The sequence below is a fragment of the Homo sapiens genome, chromosome 2, assembly GCF_000001405.40.
Source record: "Homo sapiens chromosome 2, GRCh38.p14 Primary Assembly".
Taxonomy (NCBI): Eukaryota; Metazoa; Chordata; class Mammalia; order Primates; family Hominidae; genus Homo; species Homo sapiens.
This window is the reverse complement of record NC_000002.12, coordinates 47,402,535-47,423,475: the sequence shown is the minus strand read 5'-3', so window position 1 is coordinate 47,423,475 and position 20,941 is coordinate 47,402,535. Positions and strand designations below refer to the sequence as shown.

Here is a 20,941-nt window from a genome sequence, read left to right as displayed (position 1 = left end):
AACTCCATCTCAAAAAACAAAAAAAAAAAAAGAGGGAAAGAGAATGTAACATTAAGAAACAAGTAATGGGTAATGGGCCAGGCGTGGTGGCTCAAGCCTGTAATCCCAGCACTTTGGGAGGCCGAGGCGGGCGGATCACAAGGTCAGAAGATCAAGACCATCCTGGGTAACATGGTGAAACCCCATCTCTACTAAAAAATACAGAAAATTAGCCGGGCGTGGTGGTGGGCGCCTGTAGTCCCAGCTACTTGGGAGGCTGAAGCAGGAGAATGGAGTGAACCCAGGAGGCGGAGCTTGCAGTGAGCGGAAACTGCGCCACTGCACTCCAGCCTGGGGGACAGAGCAAGACTCCGTCTCAAAAAAAAAGAAAGAAGTAAAATGGCAAAGAAACGACAAGCTTCTAAAAAACAAAGCACAAAGCAACATACACACAGCACAGCTCCCTCAGCCTTTGGTCCAGATATCATTAAAAGCCTAATAAATTGCTAGTTTCACAAGTCTATTCAACATACGATTGCAGTAATAATTACAGTTTCAGTTTATGTTTCTGGCTAAAAGAAGCTTAAAGAAAAAAACAACTACTCTGCTGTTTCTGTGACAATGCCAATTTAAAAATCACAATTTTAGAAGCATCACAGTTACTGTTGGCATAACATAGTATACTTATCAATCCTACTCAATAAAATGACTCAGCTGTATGCAATTCTGAGAGTCAACATGCGAATTAATATTGCATTAAATTGCATACAGCTGAGTCATTTTGGGGATCAGTTAACTCTTAAAATTCCAACAGAATTAATCAAATTCTTGGGGTTTTTTTTTTTTGGAGACAGAGTCTCACTCTGTTGCCCAGGCTGGAGTGCAGTGGCGCAATCTCAGCTCACTGCAACCTCTGCCTCCCAGGTTCAAGCAATTCTCCTGCCTCAGCCTCCCAAGTAACTGGGACCACAGGTGCACGCCGCCACATGCAGCTAATTTTTTGTATTTTACTAGAGAAGGGGTTTCACCGTGTTGCCCAGGCTGGTCTCGAACTCCTGAGCTCACACCTGTAATCCCAGCACTTTGGGAGGCTGAGGCAGGCCAAGGCAATCCGGCCACCTTGGCCTCCCAAAGTGCTGGGTTACAGCCACTGCACCTGGCCAAATTCTAGGTATTTTAAAATCAACATTCTGTCCCCTCTTTAACCCTACCATTTCTAGGCTTTCATTTTAAGAGCTGACTGGAATTGGTTGGGCATGGTGACTCACGCCTGTAATCCCAGCGCTTTGGGAGGCTGAGGCGGGTGGATGGCTTGAGCCTGGGAGTTCAAGAACAGCCTAGAAAACATGATGAAATCCTGTCTCTGCAAAAAATACAAAAACTAGCTAGTCTTATAACTCAGTCTCTAGATAGATAGATAGATAGATAGGTAGGTAGGTAGGTAGGTAGGTTTTTTTCAAAAGTGCTGACTGGAATTGCCTGACAGCGTATTTAAAAGGCTGAGAGCAAATATGGTTCCTAAAGAACTGTAATTACAAGTCTATAATTCTTTTTTTCATCTGTCCTATATATGGATTAATGAAGTCAAAACCACCCATTTGATACATTAAATAGCAAATACTGTGCTAGGCCTAAAGATTTTTAAAAAGGTTAAGTCCCAAGAGTCCTTATGTTTATACATGCACTTGGAGTGTTGCTCTTTATCCTTTTAAGCTTTTTCTTTTGTCCATTTATAGATTCATCTGAAGCTTTGGTAATTTTTCATTTTTAATGTCAGAATTCTGTAAGGAACATTGAACATATGTTAGCATATAAAATAGTTTATTCTTGTGGAAATGCTGACAAAATAATTTGTGTATTGAATTTGGCATTTTTATTGCCTTCTAGTTTAATATTATTTCTTTTTATATAAAATAAGATTAACATAAGCCAGGCACGGTGGCTCACGCCTGTAATCCCAGCACTTTGGGAGGCTGAGGTGGGCAAATCACAAGGTCAGGAGTTCAAGACCAGCCTGGCCAACGTAGTGAAACCCCGTCTCTACTAAAAAACACAAAAAATAAGCCAGGCGTGGTGGCGGGCGCCTGTAATCCCAGCTACTCAGGAGGCTGAGGCAGGAGAATCACCTGAACCCGGGAGGCGGAGGTTGCAGTGAGCTAAGATTATGCCATTGCACTCCAGCCCTGGCAATAGTGTGAGACTCTGTCTCAAAATAAATAAATAAATAAATAAGATTAACATAGCAATCTTTTTTTTTTTTTTTTTTTTTTTGAGATGGAGTTTTGCTCGTTGCCTAGGCTGGAGTGCAATGGTGAGATCTTGGCTCACCGCAACCTCCGCCTCCCAGGTTCAAGCGATTCTCCTGCCTCAGCCTCCTGAGTAGCTGGGATTACAGGCATATGCCACCACACCCAGCTAATTTTGTATTTTTAATAGAGACAGGGTTTCTCCATGTTGGTCAGGCTGGTCTTGAACTCCTGACCTCAGGTGATCTGCCTGCCTTGGCCTCCCAAAGTGCTGGGATTATAGGCATGAGCCACCTCGCCCAGCCAGAGACATATTTCTGATTAAGATTGCTACACTAGGGCTGGGCGCGGTGGCTTGCACCTGAGGCGGGCGGATCGGGAGGTCAGGAGTTAGAGACCAGCCTGGCCAACACGGCAAAACCCTGTCTCTACTAAAAACCCAAAACTTGGCCGGGTGTGGTGTGCTAACCTGTAAGCCCAGGTACTCAGCAGGCTGAGGCAGGAGAATCGCTTGAACCTGGGAGGCAGAGGTTGCACTGAGTGGAGATTGCGCCATTGCACTCCAGACCAGGCGACAGAGTGAGACTCCACTCACAAAAACAAAACAAAAAAAAAGAAATATGTCTCCAAGTAAAGTATGGAAAGGTTGGCTTTGAAAAGAAATAAAAGTGTTATTTCTTCTTCTGAGAAAGAGCCAGAGAGTAAAAGAGTGGAAGTACAGATAAATTTTGAGGTTTTAAGTGTTAAGGAAGAAATCATCCGCTTAGAGGTAGGAGATAGCTGAAGGCTTAAGGCAAAGTAAAAAATCGGGAGTTGGTCACTATAATGAGTCAGACAATAAAAGTAACAACCAGTTATCATTGAAAACTAGAAAGCATGAAAGCACAATGGGACCTATCAGCATTGTGTGACCTTCTCCAGCAAATTTTTTTCTTTTTTGAAGACTGGGGATAGGGAAGGTTCTCACTATTTTCCCAGGGTGGACCTGAACCTGTGATCCTCCTGCCTCAGCTTCCCAAGTAGCTGGGACTTCAGGCACAAGCCACCATGCCTTGCTTATTATAAATAATTTTGGCCGGGCACGGTGGCTTACGCCTATAATTCCAGTACTTTGGGAGGCCAAGGTGAGTGGATCATCTGAGGTCAGGAGTTCGAGACCAGCCTGGCCAAAATAGTGAAACCCTGTTTCTATTAAGAATATAAAAATTAGCCAGGTGTGGTGGTACATGCCTGTAGTCCCAGCTACTCGGGAGGCTGAGACAGGAGAATCGCTTAAACCCAGGAGGTGGAGGTTGCAGTGAGCCGAGATCACGCCACTGCACTCCAACCTGGGCAACAGAGCAAGACTCCATCTCAAAAAATAAATAATGATAATAATAATTTCTAATTCGACTGTTTAAATAAAGTACAAAAAGGAACAAGTCCCTAGAAACTCATTTCTAGATGGCAATAACATATGCTCATAGTTGCAAGTAGGTTTTAGTGAATGGAAAGAGGAACAGTACAGATCGGGTGTAGTGGTTCATGCCTGTAATCCTAGCACTTTGGGAGGCAAAGGAAGGTGGATTACTTGAGCTTGGGAGTTTGAAACCAGGCTAACCATGACAAAATCTCATTTCTTTTAAAAGAAAAAAAAAAAAGAACCAAAAAAAACTTGGTTTTATAGTAACCTGGAAGGAACATCAATCCCAAATGCTTAGTAAGGGAGATAACAGATTTCTCCTGAGAACTCCCAAGAAGGCTTAAACTAGGAAGCATGAGGTACCACAGCAGACAGAGTTGAGAAAGAGGAATAATTATAAGAAACAGGCTGGGCACGGGGGCTCACACCTGTAATGCCAGCACTTTTGGAAGCTGAGGTGGGTGTGGATTGCTTGAGACCAGCATGGCTGGGCTCAGTGGCTCACGCCTGTAATCCCAGCACTGTGGGAGGCCGAGGCAAGTGGATCATCCGAGGCCGGGAGTTCGAGAGCAGCCTGACCCACATGGAGAAACCCATCTCTACTAAAAATACAAAATTAGCCGGACGTGGTGGCGCATGCCTGTAATCCCAGCTACTCAGGAAGGCTGAGGCAGGAGAATCGCTTGAACCCGGGAGGCAGAGGTTGCGGTGAGCCAAAATCACACCACTGCACTCCAGCCTGGGCGTCAAGAGTGAAACTCGGGCTCAAAAAAAAAAGAGAGACCAGCCTGGGCAACATAGTGAGACCTCATCTCTACAAAAATGAAGAAAAAAGAAGAAACAAACAAATCCTGTATAAGGAGTGGATCTTTTTCTTCCTAGTCTGTGGTATTTCAACGTTTGGCCTTGGAAGCCACAGGCCCTCCCCGCTTGCTGCTAAAAATTGTCACCAAGAAAAAAACATTTCTTCTTACCCTACAGGTGGGGTATTAAGCAGATAATATTTTGACTCATAAAGCCATCCTCACAGATGTTACTTCTAATGAACAAGTCTTGTAAAACCATTAGATTTTAGAAATTATTGCTATGTCCCATGAAAGTAACCTTTCCTTACCCTCTTCTTCAAAAACCTACTTTTGATAGATAGCTTGCTTACTAAAAAGTGTTACTCTGATAATTATATTAGGTGACATTTCAGGTTTCTAAAGGGTCTAAACACATGCATCCTCCAGTTCTTAAACCAGAAGGGGATCACTGACACTTCCTCTATTCCCATAAATTGGAAATTAAAAATATAACCAATGACCTATAGCTTGAGTGTTAAATTATCAATCACTTCCTTTAAAAAAATTAAAGAGGAGAGAGAATAGACATACTTGTTTTGCTTGTGTAGGCCCAGACTCTGCTTGGAAGGATGTTCAAGAAACTAACACTGTTGCTCCCAGGGCAGGTGGTGGCAAAATACAATAGGAAATGTGACCCTGGAGCCATGCAAGACAGGGGCTCTTTATGGAGCTGACAGAGAAGGGGGGATGACTTATCACTGTATATCCACCTGTCCTTTTTGAATTTTGACACGTATAACTACTTATTCACAAATAAAAATTAAAAATTGTAAATTGCCTTAATTACTTGCAAATTACCCAGTCCTTCCAATCTCTTTTATTGATACCTCATAATTGTACACATTTGGGGGTTTGTAATATTTTAATACACGTATACAATGTATAATACTTAACTCAGGGTAACTGAGATATCCATCACCTCAAACATTTATCTTTGGGGATCCAATCATTCCAATATCGTTTTTGTTGTTGTTGATTTTGGGCGTCTTTTTTTGTTTGTTTGTTTGTTTGATACAAAATCTCGTTTCTCACCCAGGGTAGAGTGCAGTGGCACAATCTTGGCTCACTGCAACCTTTGCCTCCCAACTCAAGCGATTCTCATGCCTCAGCCTCAAGAGTAGCTGGTATTACAGGCACACACCACCATGCCCATCTAATTTTGTATTTTTAGTAGAGATGGGGTTTCGCCATGTTGGCCGGGCTGGTCTCGAACTCTTGACCTCAAGTAATCCACCCACCTCGGCCTCCCAAAGTGTTGGGATTACAGGGGTGAGCCACTGCATCTGGCCTGTTGATTTTTGTTTGAGACAGCGTCTCACTATGTCACCCAGGCTGGAGTGCAGGGACATGAATATGGCTCACTGCAGCCTCAACCTCCTGGGCTAAACAATCCTCCAGCCTTAGCCTCCCATGTAGCTGGGACCACAGGCACATGCCACCATGCCCAGCTAATTTTAAACAATTTTTTTTTTGGTAGAAATGGGGTGTCATTTTGTTGCCCAGACTGGTCTCAAACTCCTGGGCTCAAGCAATTATCCTGCCTCAACCTCCCCAAGTGCTGGATTATATGTGTGAGCCACCGTGCCCAGCCTCAGTTTCTTTTTTTGTTTGTTTTTTGAGACAGGGTTTCACTCCATTGCCCAGGCTGGAGTTCAGTGGCACAATCATAGCCCACTGCAGCCTCAAACTTCTGGGCCAGGGTGATATTCCCACCTCAGCCTCCCGAGTAGCTCGGGCTACAGGTACATGTCACCACACTGAGCTAATTTTTTTTTTTTTTCTTTTGTAGAGATGGCGTCTCACTGAGTTGCCCAGGCTGGTCTTGAACTCCGGGGCACAAACAATTCTCCCACTATGGCCTCCCGAAGTTCTGGAATTATAGGCATGAGACATCGCACCCAGCCCCAATTTCTGGTTCTAAATCACTAAATCCCACTCCTCTTCCCCAACAAACCTGGCTTTAGAAATCACCTTAAATTCATCAAGCAGTACTTACGTATATTACACTTCACTTAAAAGTTTTAAAACTTGTATCTAAAAGAAAAGACTAAAATAAAATATATTGAAATACTAGTAATTTTAGGATAGCAGAATTATACAACCTTTTATTTCCACAATTTTAAAGATTTTCTGACATATATGTTAAGGTCACCTTAAATCTTTTCTAGGATAAAGAGTTAAGTGCTTCCTATATATCAGACTGTAAGTATTTTATGTATATTAAATCATCTCATGCTTATAATCCTATTAAGTAGCTCTTTTATTAATGTCATTTTAAAGGTGAAGAAACTATGACATAAAGGTTGAGTAATTTACCCACGATTACACACAATATGAACATGTTCGATACCATACCATCTCAAATAAAATAAACTTTTATAGTGAAAAAAAAAAAACTTATTTAAAAAAATGAGTTCTTTAATCAATCTAAATAATTACCACTCTATTACTATGTACTCTGTACAGTTAAATGGTAACATATACTTCCAAAACTGCATATTACAATAAGTGGTATAATCATGTGGGTAACTGCAGGTTACATAAAACTAACGAAAGTATAAACTAATAACATACCTCTCCTCTATTCTGTTCTTATCCATGAGAGGCTGCTTAATCCACTGGTTAACAAGTCTTTGTCCTTGAGGGGTTTTACACTTATTCAGCAAGGCAGCCAGAGACTGAGAGCCAGTGGTATCTTCAACAGAACCCTAGTAAACAAAAAATAAAATAGAAAGAATGGCAAGCTCATTAGTGAAAACCTTACTACGCCATGAAAAACAGAGGAACAATAACATAATATTCTTCAAATATTAAGAAATTTCCACAAAAAGTTCCTCTTCCTAAGACCAACTTTCAACCTCTTAATCCGTATGTTCAACTGTACATTTCTCCCCCAGCCAAAACCACTTTATAATTACTACAGTTTTATTTTATTTGTTGAGACAGGGTCTGACTCTATTGCCCAGACTGGAGTGCAGTGGTGCCATCCTGGCTCACGGCAAGCCAGAACCCTTGGGGCTCAAAGAATCCTCCCACTTCAGCCTTTCGAGTAGCTGAGACTACAGGCGCACGCCACTAAGCCCCGCTAATTTTTTCTTTTGTAGAGACAGAGTCTCACTATGTTGCCCAGGCTGGTCTCAACTCCTGGCCTCAAGTCATCCTCCCACCCTGGACTCCCAAAGCGTTGGGATTACAGGCATGAGCCACGTCACCCAGCCACTTACTGCAGATTTAGACATAAAACTTCTTAGAATGTCATTTTAAATTGCTAGGCCAGGCCCAGTGGTTTACACCTGTAATCCCATCAATTTGGGAGGCCGAGGCAGGCAGATCACCTGGAGTTAGAGTCCAGCCTAGCCAACAAGATGAAACCCCATGTCTACTAAAAATACAAAAATTAGCTGGGCATGGTGGCAGGCGCCTCTAATCCCAGCTAATTGCCCAAACCGGAGAGGCAGAGGTTGCAGTGAGCTAAGATCACACCACTGCACTCCAGCCTGGGCGACAAGAATGAGACTCCGTCTCAAAAAAAAAAAAAAAAAAAAAATTGCTATTAGTAGTATACAAAATTATTCATAAAGTGAGGACTAATACCACATAGATAGCTTGAAACCAGAAAAAAAAAAAAAAAGCAATTCGAGAGCAAGGCACAATGAGACACACTCGTAGTCCCAGCTACTTTGGAGACTATGATAGAAGTGCTTGAGCCCAGGAGTTTGAAGCTGTAGTACACTCTGATGGCACTTCCTGTGAATAGCCACTGCACTCCAGCCTAGGGAGCATACATAGTCATACCAGTCTCTCAAAAAAAAAAAAAAAAAAAAAAACCTTGAAAAAAAATAGCAGAGCATGGTGGTTCATGCCTGTAATCCCAGCTACCACTCTAGAGGCTAAGGCAGAAGAATCACTTGAAGTCAGGAGTGAGCGAACATCCTGGGCAACACTGTGAAACTCCAACTCTGCAAAAATTTTAAAATTAGGCAAGCATGGTGGCTTGTGCCTGTAGACCCAGCTACTCATGAGGTTGAAGCAGGAAGATCGCTTGAGCCCAGGAGTTCAATACTGCAGTGAGCTATGATCTTGCCACTTCACTCCACCAAGCCCAGTCTCTAAAAAAGTAAAAAGTAGGCTGGGCACGATGGCTCAAGCCTGTAATCCCAGCACTTTGGGAAGCCGAGGTGGGAGGATCACCTAAGGTCAGAAGTTTGAGACCAACCTGGCCAACATGGTGAAACCCTGTCCCCGCAACCCTACTAAAAATATAAAAATTAACCAGGCATGGTGGCAGGCAACTGTAATCCCAACTACTTGGGAGGTGGAGGTTAGAGTGGGCTGAGATTGTGCCACTGCACTCTGGCCTAGGGAACAAGTGAGACTCTGACTTAAAAAAAAAAAAGTTAAAAAGTGGAGTGGAGGAGGGGAGAGAAAAATACAGCCATTTAAAGCTAGTTATCTAATCCAAGTATAATAATATTTCAAAATATTTTAGCTCCTTTATAAGCTTCTTCAGTATATGTCAATGAAAACATTTTTTAACCATTCAACATTTTTAACCCTTTTTTTTTTTTTTTTTTTTTTTTTTTACCTGAAAAAGGTTAAGGGCTCTGACTGCTGCAATATCCAATTTCATATACTGGCTGAAGTCAAAAGTAGTCAGTTCAAACTGTCCAAAGTTGGAATCATCTGATAAGAGTTCTAAAAACTTGATTACCGCAGACAGTGATGAAACTGCAACCTAAAATTAAGAATTTAAAAATCGAAGATTTCTATACCACTGGATCCAGTTCTAAAGATTTTAAAAAACAAATGCAAAATGAAAATAAATTCTGAAGTCCCTCATTTTCCTTGGTGTTCCTTCCCAATCCAAACCAAGAAAACTAAAGGTTAATCTCTTGAGATTTGAAAATGGTTTTTACAAGGTGAAAATTAACAGTAATTGCAGCATTATTTAGAATAGCCAAAAAAGAAAATTACCCAAATGTCCATCAAAACTAAAATGGGGGCCGGGCGCAGTGGCTCATGCTGTAATCCAAGCACTCCGGGAGGACGAGGCGGGTGGATGACTCGAGGCTAGGAGTTTGAGACCAGCCTAGCCAACATAGTGAAACCCCGTCTCTACTAAAAACACAAAAATTAGGCCCTTTCAACCTTGTGAGGTTAGAGTGAGAAAATGGTTATCTATGAACAAGTGGGCCCTCACCAGACAACAGATCAGCCAGTGCCTTAATTCTGAACTTCCCAGCCTCCAGAACTGTGAAATTAAAATACAAAAATTAGCTGGGCATGGTGGCACATGCCTGTAAACCCCAGCTACTTAGGAGATGAGAAAGGAGAATTGCTTGAATCCAGAAGGTGAAGGTTGCAGTGGGCTGAGATCGCACCACTGCACTCCAGCCTGAGCAACAAGAGCGAAACTCACCTCAAAAAAAAAAAAAAAAAAAAAAAAAAAAAAAAACTGTGAAAATTAACTGTAATTGCAGCAGTATTTATAACAGCCAAAAATGAAAATTACCCAAATGTCCATCAAAATTAGAATGGGGGTCGGGCACGGTGGTTCACGCCTGTAATCACAGCACTCTGGCAGGCCAAGGTGGGTGGATCACCTGAGGTCAGGAGTTCAAGACCAGCCTGGCCAACATAGCAAAATCCCCTCTACTGAAAATACAAAAATTAGCCAGGCATGGTGGCGTGCAGCTGAACCCAGAGGCAGAAGTTGCAGTGAGCTGAGACCGTGCCACAGCACTCCAGCCTGGGCGACAGAGCGAAATTCTGAGACTCCATCTCAAAAAAACAAAAAAAAAGGTAAAATGGGGAGAGTAGCAGTGGCGGGCAGAAGGGAAGTAAAATGGATAAATTCTGACATGCTCGTGCTATGAAATATAAATGCAAAAATCCACAACTACACTCAATAATATGGATAAATCTTACAAATATTGAATGAAAGAAGCTAGGCAGAATATATTATATAATTCCAAGTACATAAACTATAAAAATAGGCCAGACACAGTGGCTCATGCCTGCAATCTCAGCGCTTTGGAAGCCCGAGGCGGGCGGATCACCTGAGGTTCAGGAGTTTGAGACCAGCCTGACCAACATAGAGAAACCCCATCTCTACTAAAAATACAAAAAAGATGAGCCAGGCGTGGTGGCACATGCCTGTAATCCCAGCTACTCAGGAGGCCAAGGCAGGAGGATCACTTGAACCTGGGAGGCAGAGGATGTGGTGAGCCAAGATCGCGCCATTGTACTCCAGCCTGGGCAACAAAAGTGAAACTCTGTCTCAAAAAAAAAAAAAAGCTTAATATCATTGATACACAGTTTAGGTTTTGAGATAAATATGACAGAAATATCCTTCTAAAAAGTCACTATAGTTTACATATTATTTATTATATATTACATATTTACATTATATATATTGTAATTCACATTTATAATCCATGTACCTGATTCTCCATTTCTGGCAATACAGCACTATTCATCTGCTCTCCCTTTTTGCCTTTCAACAACCGGTTGAGGTCCTGATAAATGTCTTTTGTGGAAAAGTCAGCTTTTTTTCTTTCTGTGATCAGAATTCCTCCTCTTTGAATTATCTATTTTGAAAGAAATAGTTTAAACTACTATGAGAAAAGGAATAAGAAAAGCAAAAATGAAAATTATAACATTGATAACTATAGTGATAACAGATTCACCTACATTAAATGTTTATACAATGTGCAAGACACTGATATGATGTACTGATACACTTTTTACATCAATAAACTAAATTTTCATCAAAATATAAAATTACGTTCACATAAAGCTTTCAAAAAATAGTCCCAACGGTAACAACTCTTTTTTTGTTTTGAGACAGAGTCTCACTGTCGCCCAGGATGGAATGCGGTGACACGATCTTGGCTCACTGCTACCTCTGCCTCCCAGGTTCAAGCAATTCTCCTGCCTCAGCCTCCCAAGTAGCTAGGATTACAGGAGCAAGCCACCATGCTTGGCTAGATTTTTTTTTTCTTTGCATTTTTAGTAGAGACAGGGTTTCAGCACATTGGACAGGCTGGTCTCGAATCCCTGACCTCAGGTGATCCGGCCGCCTCAGCTTCCCAAAGTGCCAGGATTACAGGTGTGAGCCACCGCGCCCGGCCACAATAACAACCCTTAACAGAACTATTACTTGTGGAAAGTTGCTTAGATACAATCTATGCTAAAAATGCCCATCACATGTGTTATCTCCAGCGGTGCTTATGGTACTTGAGGACCACAAAAAGAATCTTTGGGAGATACATACCTTAAGAAACATCTAGGCCTGGCGCTGTGGCTCATGCCTGTAATCCCAGAACTATGGGAGGCCAAGGCGGGTGGATCACAAGGTCAGGAGTTAGAGACCAGCCTGACCAATATGATGAAACCCCGTCTCTATAAAAATACAAAAATAAGCCGGGCGTGTTGGCATGTGCCTGCAGTCCCAGCTACTTGGGAGGCTGAGGCAGAAGAATCGCTTGAACCCATAAGGTGGAGGCTGCAGTGAGCCAAGATCGTGGATCGTGCCACTGCACTCTAGCCTGGGTGACAGAGTCAGACTCAGTCTCAAAAAAAAAAAAATCTAAATATGCTGGGCACCGTGGCTCATGCCTATAATCCCAGCACTCTGGGAGGCTGAGGTGGGCAGATCACCTGAGGTCAGGAGTTCAAGACCAGCCTGACCAACATGGTGGAACCCTGTCTCTACTAAAAACACAAAATTGGCCAGGTGTGGTGGGGCATGCCTGTAATCCCAAGCTACTCCTGCTGGGGCAGGAGAATTGCTTGAACCCAGGAGGTAGAGGTTGCAGTGAGCTGAGATCACGCCATTACACTCCAGCCTGGGCACCAAGAGTGATACTCCACCTCAAAGAAAAAAAAAAAAATAACTAAATAATAAACCACATGCCTATACAAATGACACAATCAAAGCCGAGCATGGTGGCTCATGGCTGTAATCCCAGCACTTTGGGAGGCCCAGGTGGGTGGATCACGAGGTGAGGAGTTCAAGACCAGCCTGGCCAAGATGGTGAAACCTCACCTCTACTAAAAATACAAAAATTAGCTGGGTGTGGTGGTACACACCTGTAATCCCAGCTACTCAGGAGGCTGAGGCAGAAGAATTGCTTGAACCTGGGAGGCAGAGGTTGCAGTGAGCCGAGATCGCACCACTGCACTCCAGCCTGGGCGACAGAGCGAGACTCGGTCCCAAAAAAAAAAAAAAAAAATGACACAATCAGAATTTAGTTAAAATAAAACAAATAGTAAAATAACAGGCTAAAGTTCCACTCGATTTATCAAAAAATGCTAAAGAACTGCATCTTATTTGATAAATCCATAATTACAGTAATATTTACCGTAATAATTACTCTTTTGGAACACAAGACAGAAAGGAAAGGGGGGAGAAAAGATCTGAGGTAAAATAAATCTTACACAACAAACAGCTTGTTCTAATGTCCAATTAAATATACAAAGTTTCTGTAAACATCAGAACATTATTTTAATTAGATACAAAAAAAAGAGTTTTTTTATTATTTTTCCTTAAATGAAACAGTATCATGTCAATTAAAGAGCCTTTCCTAGGCCTGGAATCTCCTCTATCACTAGACTCAATTTGCTTACCTGTCTCAGTTTCCCCATGTCTCCAGCAGTCTCTCCTCCGGGTAAAACACATTCCTTTGGTCCAATCTGGATGAGGAGAGCCTCAAGATTGGAGAACTGATCATTATCAGGGAATTCACACAGTCCTAGTTTCCTCTGTATGGAATCCACATACCCAACTCCAACCTGTCTCTGGCCATCAACTGCGGACATTTTAACACCCACAACACCAATGGAAGCTGACATATCATTGTTACCAAAGAGAATGTCTTCAAACTGAGAGAGATTGCCAGGAGAAGCCTAAGTAAAAATAAAATTTTAAAAATTTAACAAACTCTTGAACATACTTTAAAATTTTATAAGCAAAAAGGAAAAATCCAAACTCTATGAACCTTATTAATAAAATGTTTTCTCTTTTTTTTGAGATGAAGTCTTGCTCTGTCACCCAGGCTAGAGTGCAATGGTGCGATCTCAACTCACTGCAACCTCTGCCTCAAGGGTTCAATCGATTCTCCTGCTTCAGCCTCCCCAGTAGCTGGGAATACAGGCGCACACCACCACGCCTGGCTAATTTTTGTATTTTTAGTAGAGATGGGGTTTCACCATGTTGGCCAGGCTGGTCTCGAACTCCTGACCTCGTGATCCGCCTGCCTCGGCCTCCCAAAGTGCTGGGATTACAGGTGTGAGCCACCAGGCCTGGCCAGTAAAATGTTTTCTTATAAAAAAATAACTGGCTGAGTGCTGTGGCTCACGCCTGTAATCCCAACACTTTGGGAGGCCAAGGCAGGCGGATCACGAGGTCAGGAGATCGAGACCGTCCTGGCCAACATGGTGAAACCCCATCTCTACTAAAAATACAAAAATTAGCCGGGTGTTGCAGCATGCACCTGTAATCCCAGCTACTCGGGAGGCTGAGGCGGGAGAAAAGCTTGAACCAGGGAGTCAGAGTTTGCAGTGAGCCCAGATGGCGCCACTGCACTCCAGCCTGGCGACAGAGCAAGACTGTCTCTAAATAAATAAATAAATAAATAAATAAATAAATAAATAAATGCTTGTGGTTGGGCATGGTGGCTCACATCTGTAATCTCAGCACTTTGGGAGGCCAAGGCAGGCGGATCACTTGAGGTCAGGAGTTCAAGACCAGCCTGGCCAACATGGTAAAACCTTGTCTCTACTAAAAATACAAATCTGTGGCGCTAATTTGTGGCCATCCTCACCTATTATAAGGATCTTACAGATACATGTCTCTATTATGACCTTACTGCTGGCCCTGCCCTCCCCTCCCCTTTCCCTCCCCTTCCCTGGCCCTCCCCCTCCCCTCCCCTCAGAAATTATCTATCTAATCTATCCCTCTATAGAGATGGGATCTCCCTACATTCCCCAGGGTGGTCTCAAACTCCTGGACTCAAGCAATCCTCCTGCCTTGGCCTCTGAAAGTTAAACTGTAACCTCAACCTCCTGGGCTCAAGTGATCCTCTAACCTCATCCTCTTGATTAGCTGGGACCACAGGTGTGTGCCAATAGCCCCAGCTAATTTTTTTAAATTTTTTTATCTTCAGTAGAGATGGGGCTTTACCACGTTGGGCAGGCTGGTCTTGAACTCCTGGGCTCAGGCAACCTACCTGCCTCAGCCTCCCAAAATACTGGGATTACAAGCATGAGCCACTGCGACCAGCCAAACTGCAACTTTTTAAAAACCACATGCTAATTGCTATTAAAGTGTCTCAAACCATTCTACTATCACAATCTACTTAAAATACTAAAACACAATTAAATTCTTCACATTTTTATTTTTCTACTCTTAAAAAAATAAGTAAATTAAAAAGGAAGATAATTACCTTATATGCCAAATACCAATCATTCTCCTTGGATGCCTTATTTCCAGCTCTATTCTTATAAACTTCAACTCTATACTGACGAACCAGAAGAAGATCTTTTACAAAAGATTCAAAATTCATTTTACTAAGCACAACACTCTGCAGATTCTTTGCTCCTTAAAAAAAAAAAAAGTACATTACAGATTTGAGATATTACATGTTCAAGCACTGTATTAGCTGGACTTCATGCTGCTGATAAAGACATACCCGAGACTGGGAAGAAAAAGAGGCTTACTGGACTTATAGTTCCACATGGCTGGGGAGGTCTCACAATCATGGCAGAAGGCAAGGAGGAACAAGTCATGTCTTACATGGATGGCAGCAGGCAAAGAAAGAGCTTGTGCAGGTAGACTTCCGTTTTTAAAACCATCAGATCTCATGAGGCTTATTCACTATCACAACAGCATGGGAAAGATCCATCCCCATGATTCAACTATCTCCCACCAGGTCCCTCCCACAATACATGGGAATTCAAGATGGGATTTAGGTGGGGACATAGCCAAACCATATCATTCTGCCATGACCCCTCCCAAATCTCATGTCCTCACATTTCAAAACCAATCATGCATTCCCAACAGTCCCCCAAAGCCTTAACTCATTTCAGCATTAATTCAAAATTCCAGTCCAAAGTCTCATTCAAGACAAGGTAAGTCCTTTCCGCATATGAGCCTGTCAAATCAAAAGCAAGTTAGTTACTTCCCAGATACAATGGGGTATAGGAATTGGGTAAATACAGCCATTCCAAATGGGAGAAATTGGCCAAAACAAAGGGGCTACAGGCCCCATGCAAGTCCAAAATCCAGCATGGCAGTCAAATCTTAAAGCTCCAAAATGATCTCCTTTGACTCTATGTCTCATGTCCAGGTCATGCGGATGCAAGAGCTGGGCAACCACAGCCTTGGACAGCTCTGCCCCTGTGGCTTTGCAGGGTACAGCACACTGCCTGGTTGCTTTCATGAGATGGCGTTAAGTGTCTACAGCTTTTCCAGGCACATGGTGCAAGCTGTCTGTGGATCTACCATTCTGAGGTCTGGAGAATGGTAGCCCTCTTTTCACAGCTCCACTAGGTGGTGCCCCAGTAGGGACTCTGTGGGGGGGCTCTGACCCTACATTTCCCTTCTACATTGCCCTAGCAGAGGAACTCAATGAGCACCCCACCCCTGCAGCAAACTTCTGCCTGGACATGCAGGCGTTTCCATACATCTTTGAAACCTAGGCAGAGATTCTCAAACCTCAATTATTGATTTCTGTGCACCTGCAGGCTCAACACCACCTGGAAGCTGTCAAGGTTTCAGGCTTGCACCCTCTGAAGCCATGGCCTGAGCTCTAGGTTGGCCCCTTTCAGCCACAGCTGGGGCAGCTGGGATGCAGGGCACCAAGTCACTAGGCTGCACACAGCATGGGGACCCCGGGCTGGCCCATGAAATCACTTTTTTCTCCTAGGCCTCTAGGCTTGTGATGAGAGGGGCTGCCATGAAGGCCTCTGACATGCCCTGGAAACATTTTTCCCATTGTCTTGGGGATTAACATTGGGATCCTCATTACTTATGCAAATTTCTGTAGCTAGCTTGAATTTCTCCTCAGAAAACGGGATTTTCTTTTCTATCACATTGTCAGGCTGCAAATTTTCCAAACTTTCATGCTGTTTCCCTTTTAAAACTGAATGCCTTTAACAGCACCCAAGTCACCTCTTGAATGCTTTGCTGCTTAGAAATTTCTCCCACCAGATACCCAAAATCATTTCTCTCAAGTTCAAAGCTCCACAAATCTCTAGGGCAGGGCAAAATGCCACCAGTCTCTTTACTAAAACATAACAAGTGTCACCTTTGCTCCAGTTCCCAACAAGTTCCTCATCTCCATCTGAGACCACATGAGCCTGGATTTCATTGTCCATATCATTATCAGGATTTTGGTCAAAGCCATTGAACAAGTCTCTAGGAAGTTCCAAACTTTCCCACATTTTCTGGTCTTCTTCTGAGCCCTCTAAACTGCTCTGACCTCTGCCTGTTACCCAGCTCCAAAGTTGCTTCCATATTTTCGGGTATCTTTTCAGCTGCATCCCACTCTATTGGTATCAGTTTACTGTTTTAGTCTGTTTTCACGCTGCTAATAAAGACATACCCAGCTGGGTAGGTAATCCCAGCTCTTTGGAAGGCGGAGGCGGGAAGATCACGAGGTCAAGAGATCAAGACCATCCTGGCCAACACAGTGAAACTCCGTCTCTATTAAAAATACAAAAATTAGCTGGGCATGGTGGCGTGCACCTATAGTCCCAGCTACTTGGGAGGCTGAGGCAGGAGAATCGCTTGAACCCGGGAGGCGGAGGCTGCAGTGAGTCGAGATCGCACCACTGCACTCCAGCCTAGCCACAGAGCCAGACTCTGTCTCAAAAAAAAATAAAAAAAGACATACCTGAGACTGGGCAATTTACAAAAGAACGAAGTTTAATGACTCTGCAGCCAGTTCCACATGGCTGAGGAGGCCTCACAATCATTGAGGAAGGCAAGGAGGAGCAAGTTACATCTTACATGGATGGCGGCAGGCAAAGAGAGAGAGCCTGTGCAGGGAAACTCCCATTTTTAAAACCATCAGATCTTGTGAGGCTTATTCACTACCAGGAGAACAGCACAGGAAAAACCTGCCCACATGATTCAATTATGTCCCACCAGGTACCTCCCACAAAACATGGGAATTCAAGATGAGATAAGGGTGGGAACACAGCCAGACCATATCAAGCACCTAACACAATGCTAACCCAAAAACTTCCAGTGTTTTCTCAGTAATTTATTCATTCATTAAATTGTTTATGAAGCACCTATTATATGTGCAGGGACTATGGAAGGTAATAAATAGTGAATAAGCATAGACCCTCTGCTTATATGGAGTCTACACATAAAAATCGTAAGTTCTAAAGGTAACTTTTTAATTTTTTTGTAGAGATGGGTCTCGCTATGTTACACAGGCTAGTCTTCAACTCCTAGCATCAAGCAATCCTCCCACCTTGGCATCCCTAAGTGCTGGAACGAACCACTGCACTTGGTCTGTCCTTTCTTATAATTTTTTTTAAAGTCTTTTTTTTTTTTTTTTTTTTTTTTGAGATGGAGTCTCGCTCTGTTGCCCAGGCTGGAGTGCAGTGGCACAATCTCGGCTCACTGCAAGCTCTGCCTTCCGGGTTCACACCATTCTCCTGCCTCAGCCTCCCAAGTAGCTGGGACTACAGACACCTGCCACCGCACCCAGCTAATTTTTTGTATTTTTAGTAGAGACAGGGTTTCACAGTGTTAACCAGGATGGTCTGGATCTCCTGACCTCGTGATCCGCCCACCTCAGCCTCCCAAAGTGCTGGGATTTTTGTATTTTTAGTGTAGACAGGGTTTCACCATGTTAGCCAGGATGGTCTTGATCTCCTGACCTTGTGATCCGCCCACCTCAGCCTCCCAAAGTGCTGGGATTACAAGCGTGAGTCACTGCGCCCGCCCTGTTTTAAAGTCTTATGTAAAATCTATGTAGGTCAGGTGCAGTGGCTAATACCTGTAATCCCAGCACATCGGGAGGCCAAGGTGGGTGGATCACTTGAGGTCAGGAGTTTGAGACCAGCCTGGCCAACATGGTGAAACCCCATCTCTACTAAAAATACAAAAATTAGCTAGGCGTGGTGGCACGTGCCTGTAATCCCAGCTACTCCGGTGGCTGAGGCAGGAGAATCGCTTGAACCCAGGAGGTGGAGGTTGCAGTGAGCCAGGATTACACCACTGAACTCCAACCTGGGCGACACAGTAAGACTCCGTCTCAGAAAAAAAAAAAAAAAAAACATTTCAGACTTTTCATTGGCTACAGCATAAAATTTCAACAGCTCAACACCACACTAAAAGCCTTTGGTCATCTAACCCCACCCACCTGGGCCAGTCTCCTTCCTTTTCTACACCAGCAACGCCAATCTACCTCGTTTCAAGCCCTCTCCCTAGCAAACTTCTAGTCCACCAAGACTCAACGTGGACTTTGGTGTCTCATATAACGCCTCTTCCGTTGTATGAGACTCTTCCAAAGTCTTCCGTCTTTGGCGATCCTGCCTTGGCGCCTCTTGTAACCTCTTACAAGCTCACCTCCATAAGCCTCCAACTTGAATTGTAATTATTTCTGCCTTGCTGTCCAATAGTGATCTCTATGAAAGTAGAGGTATTTCTTTTTTCATCTAGTGTCCATAACCCTGCCTAACACATTTATATCTAACGAATGAAACATTTTTCATCAGGAGTATCGCATTTGCACTAGTCCTCTAGTCAGGACTAGAATCCACAACTCTGCTCCCCCTAGGATGCTCTTTTCATTAGCATAACTACATAGCTGCAAGAAAGCGCAAAGAAAACAGGGAGAGAAGAGGTTAACTAGGCCTATCCAGAACATTTGGCCCACATAGGGTGAGACGTTTGTAGCTTTCCAGGGAGAGATAATCCTGGATAGATGGGGTCGGGTGACGGAGAGCACTGAATGCTGAGCTGAAGCAGATAGCGTCCATGACTGGCCCAAGGTCACACGTTAATAAGCAGAGGGGCAGCGACTTGATCCCAAGCAGCCCAGCTCCAGAGTCCGTTGGTCCTGACCACTTCATCATACTGCTCTTCAACGGCGCTCCATTACCAGACCCTTAGCTGGACCGGCGGTATAAATGGGAGCGTCGTGGGAGCAGAATTACGTGTCATAAAAGGGTCTCCTAAACCCCCAGTCTATTTTAAATCTCACTCCTGGCTGCTGTTTGTTAATAAGAGATTCTGGCCGTGTTTGTAATGAGCGCTACATGTAGGGCCAAGGCGAGGAATGCGACTGCTGGAAAATGAACTAGAACAATGCATTAAAATGCCTGGCACGACGTAAACACTCCGTGATCACAAGTTCAGATCCGGGGCGGCTGGAGAGGCACGGGTTTCAGGGCTGAGGGGGGCGTCCCTCCGGAGCCAAGCAGAACCTGGGGACGGCGGAATCCGCACAAGCACCAACGTTCCGCCCCCGTGCCTCCGCACTGGAGAGGCTGCTCACCGCCCACTCTCTGAGGCGGGAAAGGAGCCGCGCCACAAGGCCCCGGGTCCCTCCCCAGCACGCGCCGTCCCGGCCCTCACCTGCCGGCCCCATGTACTTGATCACCCCCTGGGTCTTGAACACCTCCCGGGCGGCCAGCAGCGCGTCCTCGCCGTGCGCCGTATAGAAGTCGCCCCGGTCGAAAAGGCGCACTGTGGTGGTCGGCTTCTCCGGCATGCCCTGAAAGAAGCGCACGAAGCCGACCTCGGCCGCGCTCTCCAACTGCAGCGTCTCCTTCGGCTGCACCGCCATGTCGAAACCTCCTCACCTCCTGGTTGAAGAAAATGCGCGACCCCACACCCACTAAGCTGTTTCCCGCCTCCCCTCCCACGTCCCCCGAGCGGCGTCCGGCCACGGCGACCACACCCAATCAGCTTCCAGGGCTGCGTTTCGGTGGGTGGGAGTCTGCCGCGGCAACCAATCATAAGCAGACGCGGCCCAGCTTCCCGCGCACGCTGGTGACTTTAGCTACTGCGCATGCCTGCGCCTAGGTCGCGCGGAAACCCGCAGACGCGCATCCTTAGTAGAGCTCCTTTCTGTGTTTACTCAGCTGCAAGGCTTGAAGCCCCTGGGTGGGGTGTATGCAAGGGTAGGTTGCCACCAGGTGGGAGATTTCCGGCAGGCACTGAGCTCGTAATGTGCCCGGAAGCATGGGAGTAACATCAGAAGGAAACTTGAAAACAAAAAAAAAACTAGCCTTCCTCCTCCTCCCAGTATTTTGTTAAAACGTGTGCCCCTCTCCGACTGCCTCCCTTTTTCTTTCTAAGCAAACTGCCAACATCGGGATTACGGGTTTATTCTACACAGCCTCCTTACTGCTGCCTGTTAGCCACATTATCGTTTCATCCACTCGTTGATGATTCACTCATTCGAAAACATTTATATGGCCTGCTATGTCCCAGACTCTTC

The 20,941-nt window shown here is 44.4% G+C and overlaps 1 protein-coding gene across 60 annotated transcripts in view, besides 4 other annotated features; it reads right to left on the bottom strand.

The window, feature by feature from the left end:
- Positions 1-20,409, bottom strand: part of MSH2 (mutS homolog 2) — a 306,764-nt gene extending 286,355 nt beyond the window's left edge. For 42 of the 60 annotated variants that reach the window (NR_176242.1, NR_176244.1, NR_176248.1 and 39 more), the window contains exons 1-6: positions 20,074-20,320; positions 14,921-15,075; positions 13,104-13,382; positions 10,916-11,062; positions 9,058-9,207; positions 7,047-7,180 (exon numbers count right to left, since the gene is read on the bottom strand). Coding sequence is in view for 33 of the 60 variants with exons in the window: in NM_001406637.1 (NP_001393566.1) it covers positions 7,047-7,180; positions 9,058-9,207; positions 10,916-11,062; positions 13,104-13,382; positions 14,921-15,075; positions 20,074-20,284 (1,076 nt within the window). In the remaining 27 variants the exon portion in view is untranslated. Of the gene's footprint in view, positions 1-1,190; positions 1,343-1,658; positions 1,761-7,046; positions 7,181-9,057; positions 9,208-10,628; positions 10,727-10,915; positions 11,063-13,103; positions 13,383-14,920; positions 15,076-20,073 lie in introns of all 60 variants that reach the window. The other 18 variants (NR_176243.1, NR_176250.1, NM_001406647.1 and 15 more) reach the window with 10 other exon arrangements.
- Positions 19,160-19,868: an enhancer, noted in NCBI's record as "H3K27ac hESC enhancer chr2:47630747-47631455 (GRCh37/hg19 assembly coordinates)". NCBI's record gives its function as "activates a minimal SCP1, AML or CMV promoter by ChIP-STARR-seq in naive H9 embryonic stem cells {active_cell/tissue: H9 hESC(naive)}" and the evidence as "EXISTENCE:reporter gene assay evidence [ECO:0000049][PMID:30033119]".
- Positions 19,734-19,793: an enhancer, noted in NCBI's record as "active region_15733". NCBI's record gives its function as "activates an Ori minimal core promoter by ATAC-STARR-seq in GM12878 lymphoblastoid cells {active_cell/tissue: GM12878}" and the evidence as "EXISTENCE:reporter gene assay evidence [ECO:0000049][PMID:35858748]".
- Positions 19,869-20,579: an enhancer, noted in NCBI's record as "OCT4-NANOG-H3K27ac hESC enhancer chr2:47630036-47630746 (GRCh37/hg19 assembly coordinates)". NCBI's record gives its function as "activates a minimal SCP1, AML or CMV promoter by ChIP-STARR-seq in naive H9 embryonic stem cells {active_cell/tissue: H9 hESC(naive)}" and the evidence as "EXISTENCE:reporter gene assay evidence [ECO:0000049][PMID:30033119]".
- Positions 20,584-20,633: an enhancer, noted in NCBI's record as "active region_15732". NCBI's record gives its function as "activates an Ori minimal core promoter by ATAC-STARR-seq in GM12878 lymphoblastoid cells {active_cell/tissue: GM12878}" and the evidence as "EXISTENCE:reporter gene assay evidence [ECO:0000049][PMID:35858748]".